At 40.1% G+C, this 22,929-nt stretch overlaps 1 annotated feature.

Moving 5' to 3' along the window:
- Positions 12,651-12,945: a silencer, noted in NCBI's record as "tiled region #1256; K562 Repressive non-DNase unmatched - State 24:Quies". NCBI's record gives its function as "represses a minimal TATA promoter and a strong SV40 promoter by Sharpr-MPRA in K562 cells {active_cell/tissue: K562}" and the evidence as "EXISTENCE:reporter gene assay evidence [ECO:0000049][PMID:27701403]".

Here is a 22,929-nt window from a genome sequence, read left to right as displayed (position 1 = left end):
AAAAGGGGAATAGACTATGCCTTCATTTAATCAACACCTACTTTTGGGGTGTTTATATGTTGCCACATATTGTGCTAGATACTGAGATGCAGCAGAGGATGACATAGACATGAACTCTACCAGTGACTGTGGGAACCTCAGTCTAGGTAATTGAATCAAGGTGGTACTTTGAAGGTAATCTTTGTTCTGTAAATAATACGTAGATTGTTGGATTGTCAATACGTGTTTTTCCCATAAGACTTCCATATATTGTAGAATATTAGATATTTGATACAGGATTCCTATGCACCACAATTATCTACTATTTCATCTCCTACAATATAATTTTATTTCTCGAATACAATTATAGGAAGGTGTTTATCCACTAGTCTCTAAGACCTGCAAATAGAACACGCTTCGGGTCTCTTGTCCAGTGCCAGGTGGATGTTTCAACTGATTGTCATGAATACCTGTGACCTTAGGAAAGTCACATTGCAGGCAGAGGTCCAAGTGGGCAGGGAAGCAATGGCTACCATCAGCAGGTGGAAGATTTAACATGTGACGAAACACCACTCACAGAGACTGCATAGCAAGCAGGAGGCAATGGATCCTATAGTACGTCGGAATCAGACTGAAGTTTGGCAGACAGGTATGAAATGGTAAACCTTGACCTTGGTTTTCAAGGCTAGGCGGCTGTCACCTAGTGTATTTAGGAAATGAGGAGGTCACGATATTAGCTGGGACTATTGCAACAGGCTACAAAGAATAATATGGCAGGGTTACTGCAACTGAGTAATAAAGCAAGGCTTGGTCAAGCGAATACAAAAAGGATGAGGTTGCTCAAAGCAGAACTCAGAGCTCATAGGGAACCCTAGTAAAGCTTGTTTTATTCTCAAATTTGTCATGCCTAAGGACCAGGTGCTAAAAATTGGCCTATAAATGATATTTAAACAGTTCCAGGTGTGGGGAATAGCAACCTGTTGAGGCATAGAGCCTTGTCATTAGGAGTGGCTTTGATTGACAGTTTATAGAAATGGCTTTCACATTTTAGTATGTATCAAAAGCACCTGGAGGGATTACTAAAACACGAGTTGCTGGGCCCTACCCCCAGAGTTTCTGATTTGGTAGGTTTAGGCTGGGGCAAGACAGCATGCCTCTCAAACACGTTTCCAAGTAATGCTGATGATACAGGTCTGGAGACCACACTTTGAATGCCTCTGTCTTGTCAAAAATACTTAAGAGCCAGGCACAGTGGCTCATGCCTGTAATCCCGCACTTTGGAAGGCTGAGGTGGGAGGATCACTTGAGTCCAAGAGCTCGAGACCAGCCTGGGCAACATGGCAAAATCCTGTCTCTACAAAAAATAGAAAAAATCAGCTGGGCGTGATGGTGTGCGCCTGTAGCCCCAGCTACTTGGGAAGCTGAGGTGAGAGGATTGCTCGAACCTGGGAAATCGAGGCTGCAGAAAACTGTGATGGTACGACTGCACTCCAGCCTGGGTGACAGAATGACACCCTGTCTCCAAAAAAAAAAAAAAGAAAAAGAAAAAATGCTTAAGGTAAGATAATGGAGGTTTTTAGGACTTTATTACGGTGGATTTCGTCCACCAAAAAGGAGGAGCCTCTGTTTCCTTTGAATTCCTTTGAGTACATAGTAAAAATTTAAACTTTTTTTTGCCATAACTTTTAAACACTGAAGTTTTCCCATTAATATAGGTAAGATTTGTATTAATTTGATTTTAAAAAATGGATGCTTCTTGAAAATGAAAGCAAGGCTATCTGCAGCCTGTTACCTTCCTAGCACAGACATAGACTCCTCCACAGAGGCAGGGACTGTCTCTGCTTCCTTCATTGCCATATCCCTGGCACACACTGTTTGTATAGAATAAGTACTCAAGGAACGTTTAAGTGAGCATATAAATGAATTTAATTTGTATACAATTTTAATTTATATTAAGTTTTTAAAAAGACATGTAAGAAGCTTTTAAAAAGGCGGCATTAAAAAGACATGCAAAATAATTGACATGAAGAAAAAAGGCGGGGAACCACAGGAAGACATCATTAGTACATCAGGAAACAGATGCAGAGACTGCCCCACTTAGTGAGATGGCTGTCTGGGTAGGTAGACATCGGCTTTTCCTTCTCTCTTCCTCTCACTTGGAGAAGCCTCACAGTGTGTGGTGGGTCTGTTTATGCAACTTCCCACTGCCCTCACTTGTCAAACCTTGGTCTAAGGGCTACAGCCCCAAATGAGTCACAGGAGCTTGCCTCCTGCCTGCTCTGGGTCACCTCTGCCCCTAGCTAGTTAACTCTCTGCTTTTCTTCTCTGCTTCTTGAGAGCACTGCAGGGCAGAAATCAAACAGCTGCTCCATAACACTCCTGCAGGTATATTGCAATTCGCTGTCCCTCAGTTTCCACAGTTCTACTCTAGAAAGAAAAATTCTGTGTTAACTGAAAGAAACTGTAAGAACTAAATTAATATCTGCAAGGTTTAATATGCTCCTCTACAAAGTAAATAATTTAAAAATGCAAGATTTTATTTTTTTTGAGACAGAGTCTAGCTCTGTCGCCCAGGCTCGAGTGCAGTAGCGCAGTCTCAGCTCACTGCAACCTCTGCCTCCTGGGTTCAAGCAATTCTCGTGCCTCAGCCTCCTGAGTAGCTGGGATTATAGGCACCCGCCACCACACCCAGCTAATTTTTGTTTTTTTTTTTAGTAGAGATGGGGGTTTCTCCATGTTGGCCTGGCTGGTCTCGAACTCCGGACCTCAGGCGATCTGCCCACCTGGGCCTCCCAAAGTGCTGGGATTACAGGCATGAGCCACTGTCCCTGCCCAGCAAAATTTTATTCTTGTTATCATCCAGTGTCCTGTTCTTTTTTATGTCTAGGGACTCTTGCTTCCATTTCAAGTTTCTCTTTTGGTTAAACTTATAATCATCTAGAATAATAGATTTCAATCCCACCTTAAAGAAAACTGCAACATCTTTTATTCAAAAAACTTCATGTAAAAACCCAGTACATACACACTGGAGGAGGAGGTGGAGGTGCTCTGGGGGAGTGGGGGTGGGGAGCCCAGCATTCTACACGAACCCAGCAATGTCACTATTTGTAGCAATTCAGCCCAGCACAGTACATGACAATAAATTAGCTAAGACAGATTCAACAAAGTTATTTCCTCAACAATTACATACTGGATGCCTCAGAAAATGACTGCTTAGTCGTATGCTCATTTCAAACAGTATTAGGAAAAGGAAATAAAATAGAATCAAATGCTGAGAACAAGGGAAGCTATTTGTGCTTCATCTTCTGAAATACTCTATTTTTCTTGGGGATTTTAATCTGACCATAGGCAGAAAGGTGATCATTAGGGTAAGATGGTATCTTCTTTTTTAAATGCTCCATTACATTGTGCATAGTAATAACTGGTACTCACATGCACACTATCCACGGAAGTGAAGGAGATTAAATGGGTGCTAGGCAGCATCAGCTTCTGTAAACTCAGACTCCCAGGAGAAGCCCAGCTTGCCCTAGGAGGAGCAAGAATTCAGGGCCAGAAGACCAAGTCACTTGCTGCCTGCAACAGCTGAGGCGAATCCCTTAGCCTTTGGCACCCTAAGTTTAGATGTAAAATGCGGATAGTAATACTTGTTCTGCCATCTTCTTGGGGTGGGATGGGGCGGGGCTGGGGAGGTTGGGACTCAGTCCCAAAAGGAAGGGATGCAAATTGAGGCAGGAGAATAGGGTCTGGAGGCAGGGAACCTAAGGCTGTTTCACGCTGACTTCCTAGAATGAAATTGAAAGGAAAACCCTAACTTTTCCTGTCTAAGTAACAAAAGGACCAGAGGCTACTCAGTTTGCAAGTCCCCCGACCATTTTCTGAGCGGCAGGTGGGAAATTGGCTGTCCGCAGCAAATCAGACTGAGTGCAGGCTGAGCCTTCGTTTGCATAGAAGTATAAATTTGTAACTTCACCCTAGCCTCTGACTGGTTTTGCAACCAATCAGATGTTTGTACAGGAGTGCGACCTTTGTAACTTCACTTCAGCCTCTGGTTGGCTGTTTTCTGTAATCAATCAGACTGATTGCGGGCTACCACTTCATTTACATGAGGTGAGCATGAAGTGGCCAGTGGGAAACTTCTAGTGGGTATTTGGACCCAAGAAGATTCCCTATCCAGCCCTTGAGCTGCTGCTCGGCCCGCTCCCACACCTTGGAGTGTACTTTCGTTTTCAATAAGTCCTTGCTTTCCTTCTTTCATAGCCTCATCCTTTCTTTGCTTTGCTGGGCGTTTTGTCCAATTCTTTGTTCAAAACGCCAAGAACCTGGACAACTTGCAGTCATGACCCTCTACCGGTGACGAAATCATGTAATGTACAAGATTATAAACTTCTAGACAAACACCAACCTGGCGTGGGTGGCTCACGCCTGTAATCCCAGGACTTTGGGAGGCCAAGGTGGGCGGATCACCTGAGGTTGGGAGTTCAAGACCAGCCTGGCCAACATGGTGAAACCCCGTCTCTACTAAAAATACAAAAATTAGCTGGGCGTGGTGGCACACGTCGGTAATCCCAGCTACTTGGGAGGCTGAGGCACGAGAATCGCTTGAACCTGGGAGGCGGAGGTTGCCGTGAGCCGAGATGGCACCACTGTACTCCATCCTGGGCGAAGCAGTGAGACTCTGTCTCCAAAAATAAAATAGAAATGAATAAATAAATAAATAAAATAAACACCGACTTTTATTATGTAAGCATTTAAAAATATTTACGAATGAGGCACAAGCTTCTTTTACAATGGTCCATTGTGCACAGAAGATTGTCTTTGGTTCTTTGGGGAAGAAGAATGAGATGAATAGGCTGTGTATTCAAGAGGGGAATAATCTAAGGGGCACATGAGATAAATATATGAAAATACATGTATGTAAAAGCAGTATAAATGGACACTGGTAGCTGCCGTTTGTTTGTTGAGCATCATCTTTGTGCCAGGCCCTGAGACATCCTTAGTAGAAAAAATTGTTCCCTTGCAAAAGAGGAAACTCAGGGGCATGGAGTTTACAATAACTTGTAACAGGTCCTGCAGCTCGCAAGGGTCAGAGACAGAACATAAACTCATGTTCATCTGGCTGACTCTGAGGTCCAACCTCAGATTTATGTCCATGCTGTCCACAACCTCTTCTTTTTTTTCCTCCTTTTTCTCCCACTCCTCCTCTCGTAGTCTTCCTTTCCCTCCTCCTCCCCATTTCATTCCTCCTCCTTCTCTATACACTCTCTTTCTCTCTCTCTTAGAGATATGTCCATCTTATAATTAAGCACAATTTTCATTATTGGCCAACTGGAATTAGGGTTTTCCTACTAATTTGTAGGACTCATATTTTAAAACTGAGATATTTAGTGTGCTACAGATTATAAACTTTTCTTTTTTCTTCTTCTTTTTTTTTTTGAGACGGAGTCTTGTTCTATTGCCCAGGCTGGCGTGCAGTGGCGCAATCTCGGCTCACTGCAACCTCCTCCTCTTGGGTTCAAGCGATTCTCCTGCGTCAGCGTCCCAAGTAGCTGGGGGATTACAGGCGTGAGCCACTATGTCTGGCCCAAACTTTTCAGAAAAATTATCTTAGAGAACACGTTGCTGGATCTGACATCAAATCTATACTTTAAAACTGTGACTGGCTGAGTGGACTAAGCCTGTTTCTTTTAATGTTATATCAAATCTCTGAAATATGGGGTTATTCATGTAATGAAAATCCTGTTATAGAAAAAGAAACCCCTTTCAGTCGTAACTAAAAGTTCTTTATGTGACAGCAGTTAGGTTTGATATGGTCGTTACTGAGAGTGTTATTCAGAGCAATAGCTTTATTTATTTATTTATTTTTTGAGGTGGAGTTTCACTCTTGTTTCCCAGGCTGGAGTGCAATGGCATGATCTCGGCTCACTGCAACCTCCGCCTCTTGGGTTCAAGCGATTCTCTTGCCTCAGCCTCCTGAGTAGCTGGAATTACAGGCATGTGCCACCACGCCTGGCTAATTGTATTTTTAGTAGAGACGAGTTTCACCATCTTGGCCAGGCTGGTCTCAAACTCCTGAGCTCAGGTGATGTGCCTGCCTTGGCCCCCCAAAGTGCTGGGATTACAGGTGTGAGCCACCAAGCCCGGTCAATAGCTTCCTTTTAACCAGGCAGGATGAACATATTTTAACACAGATATCTTTTCTTAATTAGTAAATCTAATCATGACTTTATTCCTGGCCTGTATGATTGTCAGAGTTCACCTTTTCTTGATTACTACTGTATAACTTGAAGTAGGGGATAAGGAACACAGTAGAGGTGAGGATTTTTAGGAGATCCAAGTATGAATCTCTGAGATTTCCCTGTGGGGGGCAGGTTTATGTTGACATAAATTGATCTGCAAATTATGTAACTAGAACTACCACATGTATGGTAGACAGCTTGATATGAACTAATATCACATATGCATAAAAGACAGTCTAACTTTTAAAATCATCTTATGAGAAAAATATATATTAAAATAAGCATAAAATGAGGCAGTGCATGGAAACTAAGGTCCATCTCTTTTTTACACTTGAGGGACTAAGACACATGGAGTGGTCCCTGTAGAGCCCATTCCCCACACATTATAGAGTCATGTGAGATGTACCAAGGATAATTCCTTACTGTACAGGAGAGAGACAGTTACTGAGACAGTTCGCTCATTTATTGTTACTTCATTTCTGTCATTTGAGGACCAAGAACACATAGTGCTTGCATTTAAGTATCTGATAAAGCAATGTGGACAGGAAATTTGTTTTATGAATTGTAGGATGGAAAGAAATTAACACATGTTGAATGCCTCCTTTGTGCTAGGTACTTTCATATTCCCATTTAATTTTATTTAAAAAATTCTATACTACAAAGTAGTATTCTTTATACCATAAAAAATTAGGAAACCAAGGCTCTGAGAGGTTAAGCAGAGGGCCCAGTGTATCTCAGCTAGAGGTGATGGAGCTGGTGTTTGAACTTGGTCTCTGGACTCCCAGTACCTGGCTTTTTACATTATCTTACTCTGCAGGAGATAAAAGTGCTTGTAACATTAAGCCACACCATGCCTCGGTTTCCTAGTGCACTGTAGGCATAGGGACCTGGCCATTCTGCTGTGGCTACTCCTGGAGTACATGTATCTCAGTTGCCTGTCTCATTTCATGAGAGCTTTATAACAAGTAAATGTAAGCTATGTTAAGTAAAAATAAGAGGCTATACACATGAGTTTGAGAAATTGCTGATATATTTAAGGTTTAAGAAATTTAGGACTAAAACTCAAAAATTATTCCATTGCTTAAAACTTAATATGCTATAAGGAATCTTGATCCAGATTCTTCTGGGTTAGCATGCATATCAAAAGAAATGCCTGATTATAATAAATCAACTTTTGATTAATATAGCAAAAATTGAAGCTCAATTTTCAATGTGTATGCAGAGTTACTAATTAATATACACACTAAAAAATAGCACATTTAAAAAAATAGCACGAGCCATGTAATCTTGATTTTTTAATATTTCAATGTGGAAAATTATTTTTCACATTTCTTTTTCTGCAGAGATTTTCAAATATTATGCATCATTTTAGACTTAGTTATTGTATATGGATTAAGATCTTTTGTTTTCTTCTTGAGACCGGGTTCCACTGTAGCACTCAGGCTGGAATGCAGTGGCAAGATCTTGGCTCACTGCAATCTCTGCCTCCTGGGCTCAAATGATCCTCCCACCTCAGCCTCTGAGTAGCTGGGACTACAGGCGTGAGTCACCACACCCAGCTATTTTTTGTAGAGAGAGGGTCTTACTATGTTACCCAGGCTTGTCTTAAACTCCTGAGCTCAAGTCAGCAACCCACCTTGGCCTCCCAAAATGCTGGGATTACAGGTGTGAACCACCATGCCTGGCCAAGATCTTAACTTATGGATAAATTCTTAACTTTATCTGACAAAATTGGTTTGCCAGAATGCTCATTGGTGATATTTAATGAGGGTTTACTGTGTATGCATATGCTTACTATGCATATGCTTTGTGTGAATTGTCTTTCTGAATCCTTCCCAACCCATGATGTATTTGGTGTAATTATGCCCATTTTACAGACGAGAAAACCAAAAGGCCATCAGGCTGGCAAAGAGGGGTGTGTGACATGGAACCCAGTATTTTGACTGAAGTCCATGTTCTTATATGTGCTGTGTATCTATAACATCACTGTGCAAGAAGTTAATACTCAAAAAATACTGCACATAAAAACATTACCCCAAAAAGGATAACAGTGGGAAATAGGCTAATATTCACTCCTACATCTCATCCTCTCCCAGGGCAGTGTTGGCTCATGTTCTTTTTAATTCTTGGCATTCTCCTTGAGGTTTTCTGCCCCATGGGTATTGTATAAAGACCTCCTCCAACTAGAATATTGCTGGGGTGGCATTCTGCTTTGTGTAATGCCAAAGTGAAGGTTTCTATGAAGCAGATGCATGCTTTTTTGGGAGAGACCACGATTTCTCCTGAAAGAATGCCACTGGTGGGTGACTACATGGATTCTTTGTCCCCTCTGTTGTGCCCCACTTTGGGAGAGAAGCAAGGATGGGTCTGTCAACCAGGGAAGAGGAGGCGACAGCGGCACAGTCTCTGGAAAAGTGTTGCTGATAGCCTATGGTGTGGAGAAGGGCAGGTTTGGGGAGTATCAGGAGTAGAGGGAAGGAAACAGGCTATCATATTTCTATAGAAGCAAAATGAGCAGCAGGGCTGACAGCCTTTGGCAGCAGGAAATCAGACATTATTTCTGGAGAGAACTTCCTGTCCCTAATGGGTAAACTTATCCACTTCTCACATTTCCCCACTTGTACTAGGGGCTTCCTAAGAAATAAATACTCTTTTTTTTCCTTTTCTTTTCTTTTCCTTTTTTTTTTTTTTTTTTTTTTTGAGACTGAGATCACTGTTGCCCAGGCTAGAGTGCAATGGCATGATCTCAGCTCACTGCAATCTTCATCTCCTGGGTTCAAGTGGTTCTCCTGCCTTAGCCTCTCAAGTAGCTGGGACTACAGGCATGTGCCATCACGCCTTGCTAATTTTTGTTATTTTTAGTAGAGTCAGGGTTTTATCATGTTGGCCAGGCTGGTCTCAAACTCCTGACCTCAGGTGATCTGCCTGCCTTGGCCTCCCAAAGTGCTGGGATCACAGGCGTGAGCCATCGTGCCCGGCCGGAAATACTCTTGTGTGTGGCTCCCTGTCTTTCCATTCGGTCAGGGGTCTGTGATAGAAGTGACTCCCCAGGAAGTCTTTTGGGGAACTCACAGGACAGAAGTGGGCGTTATCTTTGGTGGGCTTCTCTCCCCACCTCTCACCCCCACCCCATTGGTTTGTCTTTGAGATAACCAATTTTTATTGGGCATTGACTTTTAGGGCTGAATTGGGTCTTTCAAAGTTCACAAACACTACCCACCTCACCAACCTAACCACCTGCTAACCTTTCTGGAAATTTCCAGGCAAGTGGCTGAACCAAAGCAGGGAGTGTAGTACAAAGGCAAGATGGAAGCACAAGGCATCATGTTTCATGTATTAAAACCAACTCCTTGGCCAGGTGCGGTGGCTCATGCCTGTAATCCCAGCATTTTGGGAGGCCGAGGAGGGCGGGTCACCTGAGATCAGGAGTTCGAGACCAGCCTGGCTAACATGATGAAACCCTATCTCTACTAAAAAAAAAAAAAAAAAAAAAAAAATTAGCCAGGCATGGTGGCAGGTGCCTGTAATCCCAGCTACTCAGGAAGCTGAGGCAGGAGCATCACTTGAACCTGGGAGGCAGAGGTTGCAGTGAGCCGAGATCGCATCAGTGCATTCCAGCCTGGATGACAGAATGAGACTCCATCTTAATAAAAAACAAAAACAAAACAAAACAAAAACAACTCCTTGAAATCACATTTAAATATTAAGGTATTATTATATAACCACAAAATTTGCCTTTTAGATGGAATATGAAACCTCATCTATTCTTTGCAAATGTATTAACCTCACTCTTCTTTGTTTTAAACCATTTCTCCTCAGTCTTTCATACAGACAGATGGTCTCAGTTATGTACAGTAGCTTCTAGCCTCTGTGTTGCTATGCAACAAAATGCATCCTATCTGCGTCCTTTCTCTGTTATATCCCATTTCCGTTCAACTCAAAATAACTAGCCGAGTGCTTCAACATGCTACTTCCTCCTTTCTACAGAGTTGAATACCTATCAAGTATCTTCCTGGGCTTCCTATCTCTTCCTGTTACAGTCTTGAAAAAATGTGTTTGCTCCAATTTGATTTTCCTCATCACTTCCTATTTACATCAACCCACTCAGAGCTAAGGCAGGCAAAACATACATCAGTGAGTCATGCAGCTGTTGGCCCATAGGAAAAAGAAATGTGTCAGCCAATTGAGTGATATTTGAAACTAAAATTTTTTTTATTGTTGTCAGATGTGGGGTTCCTGTTTTTCCTTTTTGTCATGGCTTTGTTTCTCAACAGATACTAGAATGTACAAAAAATTAAACATAAAAGTAACTTTTCTCATTTTGGGGTTTAAGAAAGAGGGTAATAATCTTGCAAAAAGAGGGTAAATTCTTGCAAAATAAGAGGCAAGCAGAGGACATGTAAATGTCCTGAATTTTGTAGATAGAAGCTTGGAATTTAAAGATTAAAAAGTCCTTAAACAGAAACAAAAATACATCTTTTAAAAGACCGTATGTCATGTTGCAGTTTTTTTCTCTCTCGCTTGTTTAATCCTTAGGACATTAGACTCATTTATGGATTCTTCCAAAACTCATTTCATGCCCCTTTAATTCATGTCATTTTTCTTATCCCTAGTGGTCACAAATCTCAAATAATTAGATTAAGGTTGCCCCAACTAAGAAACCAGTGAATGTGGAATGGGGGAGATGGTAACATTGAGGTTAGAGTGGTTGCAGAAAATATGTTCATCACTCCTTGCTCTTCAGTGATCAAATTCCAATTTCTGAAGAAAAATCTAATGTCAAGTGGAAAAGAATGCATGTATTTGAAAATCCAAAGAATCTATGTAATTCACATTGGTGTTTTATTTCTTGATTTAAAAAATGAAGGTGCTGGAACATTGCATGATTTGAGATGAAGTATAAATCACTCAGTAGAATTTTGATGCTGTACAGTTATTATAAACTCAACAAAAAGTTTTAATTGCCTTAAATTTGTGCGAAATGTTCTTTAGAGGTAGGCACATTTGTTTTCTTTCCTCAGACGTTTTGGTTTCTCAGTCAAGTGTTCTCTGTGGAGTTGTAAATTTTCTTTCATGGCTGGGGTGGACGGATTTTACTTCCATGGTTAGTGTTTTCACACCTGATTTTGCTAAACTTGTGTTGGCCTCTTACCTGAGAAAGGTCCCTACAGCATACTCTAATGATGATCAGAACAGGTGGTCCTTGTGGCCAGCTTCCCTACCACACTGTTTCTTTGGAAACTCAGCACTGGGAATTGTTGCAAGAGCAGAAGAGAAGCTAAGTAATGTTGAGGATCCGAGTTTAGTGGCACTACTCGTTTGAGGTTACTGTAGTCTCTTGATACTGACAGGACCTTATCAGTACACAACGCCACAACACCATAGTACCCTTTGAATACTCTGACTATATTCTGTGTCTAAGCCAAAACGAAGTCAGGCAGCAATGTCAGATTGGACCCAATGGCAGCCAGGCTTTGGGGTGGAACTATGTGTGTGCCTTTGGCTTAGATGGTCCTGTCTGTCTGTGTTTACAGGGGGATTCTGAAGTCATTTTTTAGGCAGGTGCTGGTGTTCTTTATTTGGTCACATAAAAAATAAAAGGAGATGAAAGATTGGTAATGTGGATGTGTTAAATTTATAGATATGTGTATGTATATATGTGTTTGTGTGTATATGTGTATGTATACATGTATGTGTGTGTTATATATATGGAGAAATAGATATTAAAAATTATAAAAACCACTCAAAACAATTTTAGGTCATTCCTTCAACATGTGTATTAAATACCCCTTTACATTTCATATTTATTTTATCTGTGATTTTAAGTTAGATAAAATAACTTTTTTCTACTAGATATTGAAAATATTTTGCTGGGTACAGTAGCTCATGCCTGTAATCCTAGCATTTTGGGAGGCCAAGGTGGGTGGATTGCTTGAGACCAGCCTGGGCAACATAGTGAGATCTTGTCTCCAAAAGAAGTACAAAAATTAGCCAGGCGTGGTGGTGCATGCCTGTACTTCACTACTCAGGAGGCTGAGGTGGGAGGATCACCTGAGGCTGAGAGGTTGAGGCTGCAATCAGCCATATTTGTGCTACTGCATTCCAGCTTGGGTGATAAGTGTGAGACCCTATCTCAAATACCTATATTTAAAAATATGTTTAAAGAGTTGTAGTATTGTAAATTTCATCAGATCTCCAGATCTTTTTTATCTTGTGTTTTAGAGAGTCTCCTGTCCTCTGATTTATATCATACCCAGGAAAAATAAATAATAGATTCGAACAAAAAAGAAACTCATTTTTTGAACTTCCTCTGTTTTGTGGGCTCAGAAACATTCTGTCCACCCTTCGTTTCCTGTAGAATATTTCGTCATATCACTTTAAACCATGAGTCTTCAAAATTCCTTTCCATCTTGAACATAGTGTGTATTCTAAGCTAGATAGTGAGGCCACAGAGGACAAGTCACATATCTCCCTTGAGTCAAAGGCAGCATCCAGGGCGTGTGAGGGGAGCAGTCAGGAGCAGGAATGCATTGACTTGGGGTAAAGCAACCTAAACAATGTTGACCTTTCAACACAGCAGTGGTGACTGGGTATAATGGTTTATCTCTAAAATCCATGGAAGCCTGCATAAAATTAATGTCAGGGAGAATTTTGTTTTCCATTTAAATACATTTTGTTATTAATACTAGAGTAAATCATATTCATCATAGAATTTTTTAAAAAAAGCAATAGGGTGGGAAATACACCCCATATATTGTGGGAAACAACCACCATTAACATTGTGGTATATTTTTTTCCCTCTCATTTTCCCTCCTTTGGATTATGATTGGTTTTCTAGCAGTTTTCCGTACTTATCATGAATGGGTTCTCATGTCATTAAATACTTTAAATTCTGATGGCTAATAACTGCATATTTATTCCATACATAAGTAACTTTGGTTATTTGTCCAAAGGGTAACTTCTTTTGATTTTTAAAAATAGTTGCAAATTTTATTATGATATAGTGCAAAATTTTGAGCAAGGCATGCTTTGTATCAGGTGTCTACTTACTTCTTTCTAATATCTCCTCTTATGCTGACATACAACACAACCAGTACCTTCATGGGTAGCCTCTTCATGCTCACCTCTTCCAGAACCATGTGAAACTTGAAAATCAAGCCTTTCCCCTGAACTCATCTGAACCTTTTATCTCAGGAATTTCCTCAGAAAGTCTACTGTTTCCTGGATATTTGCATTTCAAAAAAGATACTGAAAATGTAGAGAAGTGAATTTCTCATCGAATTTCATTTAGTGTGTCCTCAGCATATGTGTTATATCCGTTGGAGGGAATGTACTACTCTGTCAATATTTGTGGGCCGTAATTGTTTCCCAATTATTTCATAATTTTGAGGATTGTCTCCTTAGTAACACTGTCAGTTCCTTTAGTGAAGGTCCTGGGGGGAAAACTTTTTTTATTCCTGCTCAAAGCTTAGCACAATTCTCGGCATATTGCAAATAGTAATGATGATGATACTTTTAAAAGAAGCTTACTTAATTTTAATGGTTAGTAGGAACCTCAAATCTGAGATCACAGACTATGGTTAGTTGTAGCAATGAAGGAATGATTCTTCTAACAATACTCCCAGGGCAGAAATCACTAGAGGCTGGCCAGAGGAGAAATATCAGGCACATTTGCCTATTGAACCAGAGGTTTGGTGACATGAAGCAGAATGATTAGGCTTATGTTTAGGGTTAAAACATTTTGAGTACATTAAGTAAATTTTGAGATAATGGACCTCAGAGTGACAATGTTATCAGAATTTCTAATTATCTTGGTGTTCCTTTCTGTTGAACCATGCCCAGCCAAACAGATAATCCTGGTCGTCAGAATTACATTTCCATAAATGGAAGATGAATAATTCTCTCTTTTAAGTAACAGAGATAGGATTAAGCCCTGAGGTTGCATGCCTTTGCCACGACTGTTCCGCTCTCTAAAATATTCTTTGTCTCTTCTGACAAATTCTTAGTCATTCTACGAAATCCAATTCAAATATTCCTTTAAACACTTACTGATGCCCCTAGGCAACCTCTGTATAACCCAAGACTTCCTCTTTAGTGCTTTCACAGCATTCTTACTGTGAAATATCTATATCATTACTTATCATAAATATGTGAATCATTGGATATTTATGATCTCTAATGATCATATTGTAGCCATTATACTGGCACTGAATATCCTTGTGCCCTTACTCTCCTATGAATTGGGCAAGTATAGGGGCCATATTCTATTTTGCTTTGCATTTCAGACATTTAATCACAATCTTGTTCATAATAAGTACACAACAAATTTTATCAAGTGAATAAATGATGTTTCACAACTCATGTTGCAAGTTATTGACAATGCCAATAAAACCAAGAACAATGGTAGGTTTTATTATGCTGTCTTTCTTTGGCTATCTTGACCAAAATACACAAACAAAGTGGGGTTTTTAGCCTCAGCCTATGACATCTACAAGGCTCTGGTTTTCTTGGTTTCCATTCTTTGCCTTAGGTTCCACCTCTTAAACGATAGGGGTCTATTTTCTGTGTTCCTGAACACACTGAGCACATTCCAAGCACAGAGGCCTTTTCTCTTTCGGTTTTCTCTACCTGGAATAATTTTCCTCCAGCTATTTGTATGACTCAACTCATCACTTCATTATGTCTCATATCCTCAAAGACCACCCTATTTAAAAGGGCAAACTTCTCAACTCTGTTACTCTACCCTGATTTATAACACTTAACACTGTTTCACATTATGATACACATTTTAAAATTTGTGTATATATTGTTGGCATGGGCTTTGTTTTGTTTATTACTCTATCCCCAGCAATGTTGCAAAAGTGATTCAATGGAAGAAGAATGGACTTTTCAACAAATAGTGCTGAAGCAATTGGACATCGAAGGGCAAATAAATGAACCTCAAAATAAGCCTCAAAAATCAACTCAAAATAGATCATGCAAAATAGAAAATACAAATCTGTGAAACTTTCAGAAAAATCATAGATAAAAATATTTGGATCTTAGGGCTAAGCAAAGAGTTCATAGACTTGACACCAAAAGAACAATTAATGCAAGGAAAAATTGAGAAATTGGACCACATCAAAGTTAAAAACTTTTGCTTTGTGGAAGATCCCACAAAGAGGATGAAGAGATAAGATACAAATTGGGAGTAAATATTTGAGACTCATGTGTCTGACAAGTGCCTTGTGTCTATTCTAGACTACGGAAGAAACTCTCAAAACTCAATAGTACAAACACCTTGAACAATACAATTAGAAAATGAACAAAAGATGTGAACAGACATCTCATTGAAGAAGATATACAGATGGCAGGTAAAAAGGTGTTTAACATCATTAAACACCTACATTAGTGAAACGCAAATTAAAATCACAATGAAATATCATTACACAACTATTAAAGATAAAATATAGTGATTATACCGATTACTGATGAGGACAAGGAGAGGATGAGGAGAAACTGATCATACATTGCTGCTGGGAATGTCAAATGGTGTATTCACTCTGGCATTTATAAATAGTTTGGCAGTTTTCTAAAAAAAAAACCAAAAAACCAAAAATCATGTACTTATCATATAACCTAGCAATTTCACTCTTGGGCATTTATCCCAGAGAAATGAAAAATTATGTTTACACAAAAATCTGCATGTAAATGTTTATAACAACTTTATTTGTAATAGCCCCAAACTGAAATAACCCAAGTGTATTTCAACATGTGAATGGTTAAATGAACTGTGATAATACAGCCACACCATGGAATACTACTCAACAATAAAAAGGAATAAACTATTGGTACATGCAATAACTTGGATGGATTGCGAGGGAATTTTTCTGAGTAAAAAAGATTACATACTATAAGATTTCATTTATTTAACAGCCTCAAAACAAAATTGTAGATGGAGAGCACAGATTAGTGGTTACCAGAGATTATTGATATGGGGGAAGGAGTTGTGGCTATAAAGGAATAAGCAAAGGGAGCCTTATGCTGACAAAACAGTTCTGTCTTTTTTTTTTTTTCGAGACAGAGTCTCACTCTGTTGTTCAGGCTAGAGTGCAGTGGCACAATCATAGCTCACTGCAGCCTTGACCTCCCACCCCAGCCTCCACGTAGCTGGGACTAAAGGCGTGTGCTACCATGCCCAGCTAATTAAATTTTTTTTTTTTTTTTTAAGAGACAATGTCTTACTATGTTGCCCAGGCTGATGTTGAACTCCTGGGCTCAACTGTTTCTCCCACTTTGGCCTCCCAAAGTGTTGGGATTACAGGTGTGAGTCACTGTACTCGGCCAGTTCTGTATCTGGATTATGGTAGTGGTTACGTGAATTTACACATATGATAAAATTGTATATAACTATTCACACACACACAAGTGAGTGCATGTAAAAGTAGTAAAATTAGAATAAACTGTGAGTTGTATCCATTTTAATTTCCTGATTTTGGTATTATTATTTTAGATATATGAGATGTAATCATTAGGGGAAACTAGGTGAACGGTACATGGAACCTCCTTCTACATTTTTTTGCAACTTCTCGTGAATCCAAAATCATTTCAAAATGTTATTTAAAAACCCCTTATCCACACACAGTTTATTTCATATGCACATACATTATCCTGGAAATAGGTATGAGGCACTCTTTGAACCCTTCCAAGTATTTGCCCAAAATGAAACTCCATACCTATTAAGCATTAATCTTGGGTCAAATAACATTCCATTCTCTATGAGAAGAGGACTATAACAATATCAAAGAATATTATTTCTAATTTAGAGATGATGGACTGAAGACAGAGGAATTTGCTTATCAATGAGTTAAAAACCTTCTGTTTTAAAGAATAGAGATAGAGTCTCACTAATGTTGCCCAGGCTGGCCTCCAATTCCTTGCCTCAAGCAATCCTCCTGCCACAGCGTCCCAAAGTGTTGGGATTACAGGCATGAGCCACCATGCCTGGTCTTCTAATTAGTTTTTAAAGGTATTACAGGCACCCAGAGGATAAACACATTTTTGCAAAATGGCAGCTATCTTTATAAGAAAGAGAAAATTTCCTAATTGTATTGGTTTTTCAAATCTACTGCAACAAATTACCACAAGTGGGAGGCTTAAGACAACAGAAATTTATTCCCTCACAGTTCTGGAAGCCAGAAGTTTGAAATCAAGGTGTCACCTGGGCTTTGCTCCCTCGGAAGTTTCTGAAGAAAAAAAATCATCCCATGTGCCTGTGCTAGCTTCTGGTGCATGCCAGCAATCCTTGGTGTTCTTCTCTCTGTGTCTTGTCCCTTTTGAGGACCCCGGTCATTGGATCAGGGCCCACCCTAAACCCATCTGACCTCATTTTTTTTTTGAGATGGAGTTCACTCTTGCTGCCCAGGCTGGAGTGCAATGGCACAATCTCGGCTCACTGCAACCTCCGCCTCCTGGGTTCAAGCGATTCTCCTGCCTCAACCTCCTGAGTAGCTGGGATTACAGGCGCATACCACCACACCCAGCTAATTTTTTGTATTTAGTAGAGACGGGGTTTCACTATGTTGGTCAGGCTGGTCTTGAACTCCTGACCTCAGGTGATCCACCCACCTTGGCCTCTCGAAGTGCTGGGATTACAGGCATGAGCCACTGCACCTGGCCCATATGACCTCATTTTAACTTAATGACATCTGCAGTTACCCTATTTCCAAATAAGGCCATGTTCTGAGGTACTGGAGTTTAGGACTTGAATATATCTTTATGGAGGAACAATTCAACACACAATGGCTCAATGGCTGTCATTGTTTTCTTTAGAAAAATAATAAAGGATGAGAGCTTGTAGCAACCTTGAGGCAATAAAGATCTATTTGCTGAGCCTAGTTATCATAGAAAAGATGCATGTCTGTGCACATGGAAAGTATTGGTGGCCACTTGCTGGTTTTGGGGAATAGTAAGGAAGATTAACAGTCAACATCCCATCCCTGGGAAGGAAGGAAAACATCTATATTGTCAGGATTCTTTCCAGTTATCTCTGCTACAGTACCTTTTACCCAGTTCACATAGCCTGTGAGTAACAGTGTCAAAAGACTCAGCACTTCTGATTCAAATTCAGCAGCTTCGACAGGACCAAAGGTCAATTTCTTCCTTTGTAGACCTATAAGTGGATGTGACAGTCCAACCAATATCACTGGTTACTTTGTTTTAGAGCCAATATAGGCATTCATTTTAAGCAAACATCATTTGTAAAGTAAAAAATAGGGATAAAACATGTCTTATACCATGATGCTGTAAACTGGGGCAGGAAATCAAATCAAGAGCCCACAGCACATTCCTTCTGGAAAATCTGCTAAAGGAAGGAAGTTCCCTGAGGGATTTTTAATCCTCCTGCACAGGACTTTGTTTTGAGAGGGTCATTCAAAAAAAAAAAAAAAAACCTGTACAAAATGCCTTACGGGGCACTCATGACACGCTTGGGGAAAATTTATAATGCTGCAGCATTATGCTAAAAGATATAGGATCCTCTGTCCTTGTTGAATAAGAAGAGTCACATTAAGAAATAGCAGGTGTGCTCAGTTTTAGGCTTATTAGAAAGAGTAGTGGTAAGGAATAATGTAATTTTAGAGCTCTGAGCAGAGGATCACCTCTCCTGCCAACCAAAAAACAAAAAACAAAAAAAAAATGGACGGGGATGGAGCAGGGCAAGAGATTTTCTTTCTTTCTTTCTTTCTTTCTTTCTTTCTTTCTTTCTTTCTTTCTTTCTTTCTTTCTTTCTTTCTTTCTTTCTTTCCTTCCTTCCTTCCTTCCTTCCTTCCTTCCTTCCTTCCTTCCTTCCTTCCTTCCTTCCTTTTTCTTTCTTTCTCTCTCTCTCTTTCTTTCTTCTTTTCTTTCCTTTCTTTCTTTTTTTTTTTTTTTGAGACAGTCTTGCTCTGTTGCCCAGGCTGGAGTGCAGTGGCACAATCTTGGCTCATTGCAACCTCTTCCTCCTGGGTTCAAGCAATTCTTATGCCTCTCAACCTCCCAAGTAGCTGGGATTACAGGTGCATGCCACCACGCCTGGCTAATTTTTATATTTTTAGTAGAAACAGGGTTTTGCCATGTTGGCCAGTCTGATCTCGAACGTCTCTGACCTCAAGTGATCAGCCCACCTTGGCCTCCCAAAGTGCTGAGATTACAGGTATGAGCCACCGTGCCAGGCCAAGGTGGTTTTTGTTTGTTTGTTTGTTTGTTTGTTTGTTTGTTTGTTTTTAGAACAATTTCTTTCTTATTATCTTTCAGGAGCCCAGGAATGCAAGAGGTTGGGTCTCTTGGCTTTCCTGTTGGTACTTAGTGTCCTGTGCAATGAATGCATTACTCTCATCAAAGGAAAAAAAAAAAGGAATTAGCAGCTTTGTGAGGTTATGAGATAGGGAAACTAGAGATGCCACTAAAAGCTGACATTCTTAACCCAAAGAAATAGGTTCTGAAAGTTGGTTTAGGTGGCGAATACATGGTGTTGATGAAGTGAGGCCCTTGGTTTTATTCCCACCAACAGTCTCATCCCCACTCTGGGGCTTGACATTGGCTTTTCTTTCTATTCCATTACATCCAATCATTCTGCAAATGTTATCAAGTGATCACAGGGAGTTTCCCTTGGGAGCACAGCTAGATGGTGTGGTGAGACGTGACAGAACTGTAGCAGCCTCTGTTTTTCTACAAACCTTAGTTGGCCATATGTATAACTTTATGGAAACACAAATAGTGCCTAACAATTTCCAATATTAAAATTCTGCCCAAAATAAATGAAGTATTTTCTGTATGGAATGTCTTTATTTCTATTTTTTTTCTTTCTTTTTTGAGACAGGGTCTCACTTCATCACCCAGTCTGGAGTGTGTAGTGGCACAATCTCAGCTCACTGCAGCCTAAGCCTCCTGGGCTTAAGCTATTCTCCTGCCTCAGCCTTCTCAGTAGCTGGGACTATGGGTGTGTGCTACCACACCTGGCTAATTTTTGTATTTTTTGTAGAAATGGGGTTTCACCATGTTGCTCAGACTGTCTTGAACTCAGCTCAAGTGATCCACCTGCCTTGGCCTCCCCAAGTGCTGGGATTACAGGTGTGAGCCACCAGACCTGGCTTAAGCATCTCATTTTAAAACAACACCATTCAGTGGGTGCCAGGTAGGATCTATTTTTCTGTAAGTAAGAAAATAAAAAATATGAATAATAAATATACTTGCTCTTGAATATAAGCACTGATTCCCTATTAGTTTGGAGAGAAGAGGAGGATGTAAAGAAAGGAATTCTATATAAAAAAGCTCAGCAGGCTGGACATACCTTGCTCACCAAGGAGATTCTGACCTAGCTCCTCCTCTTCCAAGGTGACTACTCTGAGAATCACTCATTGTCATTTAGCACCACCATTATTCATAGAGATTTGTTGAATCCCTTTACTGTTATTGGGGAGGAAAAAAAATATATTGAGGTCATATACCCATTGCAGTCCACAATCCTTCTAAGAGAACAAAATCCTGACCATTTCCATACCTGGGATTGACTTTGAGTCCTAGTAGGGTAAAGCATTGTATTTACCTGAAAATGATATATTTTCCTACAATTGCATAATAATAATACAAATCAATAATAACAAAACACTTTTTTCCACCTAGGGCTTTTCTAACCAGAGCTTCCTTCTATACTGAGCATTCACTTCACCAATAATTGATCAAAGTTGTCTTCGGGTAGAATTGTGCCTGAAGAAGCCACAGGTTCCTGCCTTGCCCTCTTAACTTTCTGTTGTACCCTGGAAAGCATTTCTCATCTCTCTTCTCTGCCAAATATTTCTGATAGGTTATTTATAGCATAAGGTGAACAAACCAATGTATTATCTCTTTCATTCTATCTTTTCTTTCTTTCAAACTGTACAATTCAAAAACACAAAATTGTCAGGTTTTTAAAAATTTTTATTTATATATTTATTTATTTTTTTGGCACAGTACCTCCTTGAGGCAAAAACCTCCCTGACAGTGGCCAGTGTAGGATTCTTTGTAGCGCGCACAGCACCTATCATAATACCTTTAAATACTGGCACTCATGGGCTTGTGTTGAGTGAATGAATACAAGTCCCCGAGAGGCTGGTGGGCCTGAGGATGGGGACTCGCCAAACTTGTGATGAATTTTAAGTGAATGAATTCTAGTAATGTTAGTTATTTGCATTCATTTCTTATTTCATTCACTAAAAAACTGTTGATAGAGTATGTGCCAGATATTTTGATGGGAAATGATAGTGAACAAAAATGGGATACATCTCTGTTCTTGAAAAGTTTACATTCTCATGGGGGAGATCCACAAATAAGCATATAATCACCAGCCAGAGTGAGCGCTCTAAGGAAATGGGCTCATCTGTGGGCAAGACCTGGTGAACAGAAAGGCGCTCCCAAGAAGTTGGTGAAGAAAGACATGTAGAAGTTAACAAGGTGAAGAGGTGAGTGGACAGTATTACAGGCAGAGGGAAGGATGTTCATGTAAAATTTTTTTGGATAGTTACTACAGTGTAAAGGCATTGTTTGGGTACTGGGGATATAAAAGTAAACCAGATAAATAAGGTTCCTGCTCTCACGGAGTGTGTGTGTTTAGAGGGTTTAGAAGATATGTAAAATAGTCACCAATTATGGCCAGTGCTATGACGAGAATAAAACAGCGTGATGTGATAGAGAGCAAGTGGATGGGAGGTTTGGCTGCAATATTGGGTACATTGGATTTCCACTTCAGCACACCGCAGTTCTATTGAGGATGCTTTGGCTCCTTCACTGTAGACATAATACTTTCAAAAGATAACTTGTCTTCTGTGAATGAAGAGTCAGATGGCAAGAGTGAAAAAGAAATAGGCGACCAGGAGGGACCCGTGATGCTGGTGTGGACCAGAAAGCGTAATAGTGGAGATGGAGACAAGTGGATGGATTCAGGGTCTATTTTGGAGATGGAGCTGGCAGGTTTTGTTGTTGGATTAAGTGGATGTAGGGAGTAAGAGAAGGAGTAGACTTAAAGATGCTTCCTGGGTCTTTGGCTGGAGCAACTAGAGGGTGATGTTGCGTTTTACTGGAAGTAGAAGGCTGGGTAAAGATGAAGTCATGATGAACAGAGGCATGGCATATTGAAGAACTACAGGAAGAAATACGACCAGGGAATGGAAATGGGGGCAGTGGTGCCAAGGTGGGATTATGGCTCGACCAATAGGGCCTGTCTTTATTCCCATGGGAAATGAATTTACCTTCTCTGGTTATTAGATATAGTTAAGGTTTTGCTTCTGTGGGGTCTCTCCTTAAGCTAAAAGTCTTTTTTTTTTTTTTTTTTTTTTTTTTTTTTTTGAGACAGAGTCTTACTCTCTTGCCAAGTGGTGTGATCTGGGCTCACTGCAACCTCTGCCTCCTGGGTTCAAGCGATTCTCCTGCTTCAGCCTACCAAGTAGCTGTGATTACAGGCATGAGACACCACGCCTCACTAATTTTTGTATTTTTAGTAGACACGGGGTTTTGTCACATCGCCAAGCTGCTCTCAAACTCCTGACCTGAAGCGATCTGCTCGCCTCGGCCTCCCAATGTGCTGGAATTATAGGCGTGAGCCACTGCACCTGGCCTAAAAGTCTTAAGTATATTAAAAAATAACTTAGAGCCCCTCTAATAAAAAATAAGTTACTTCTGTTATCCTATTAAACTTTTTTATTTTTATTTTGAGATGGAATTT

The sequence above is a fragment of the Homo sapiens genome, chromosome 1 (genome assembly GCF_000001405.40).
Source record: "Homo sapiens chromosome 1, GRCh38.p14 Primary Assembly".
NCBI lineage: Eukaryota > Metazoa > Chordata > Mammalia > Primates > Hominidae > Homo > Homo sapiens.
This window is presented reverse-complemented; position numbering and strand designations above follow the sequence as displayed.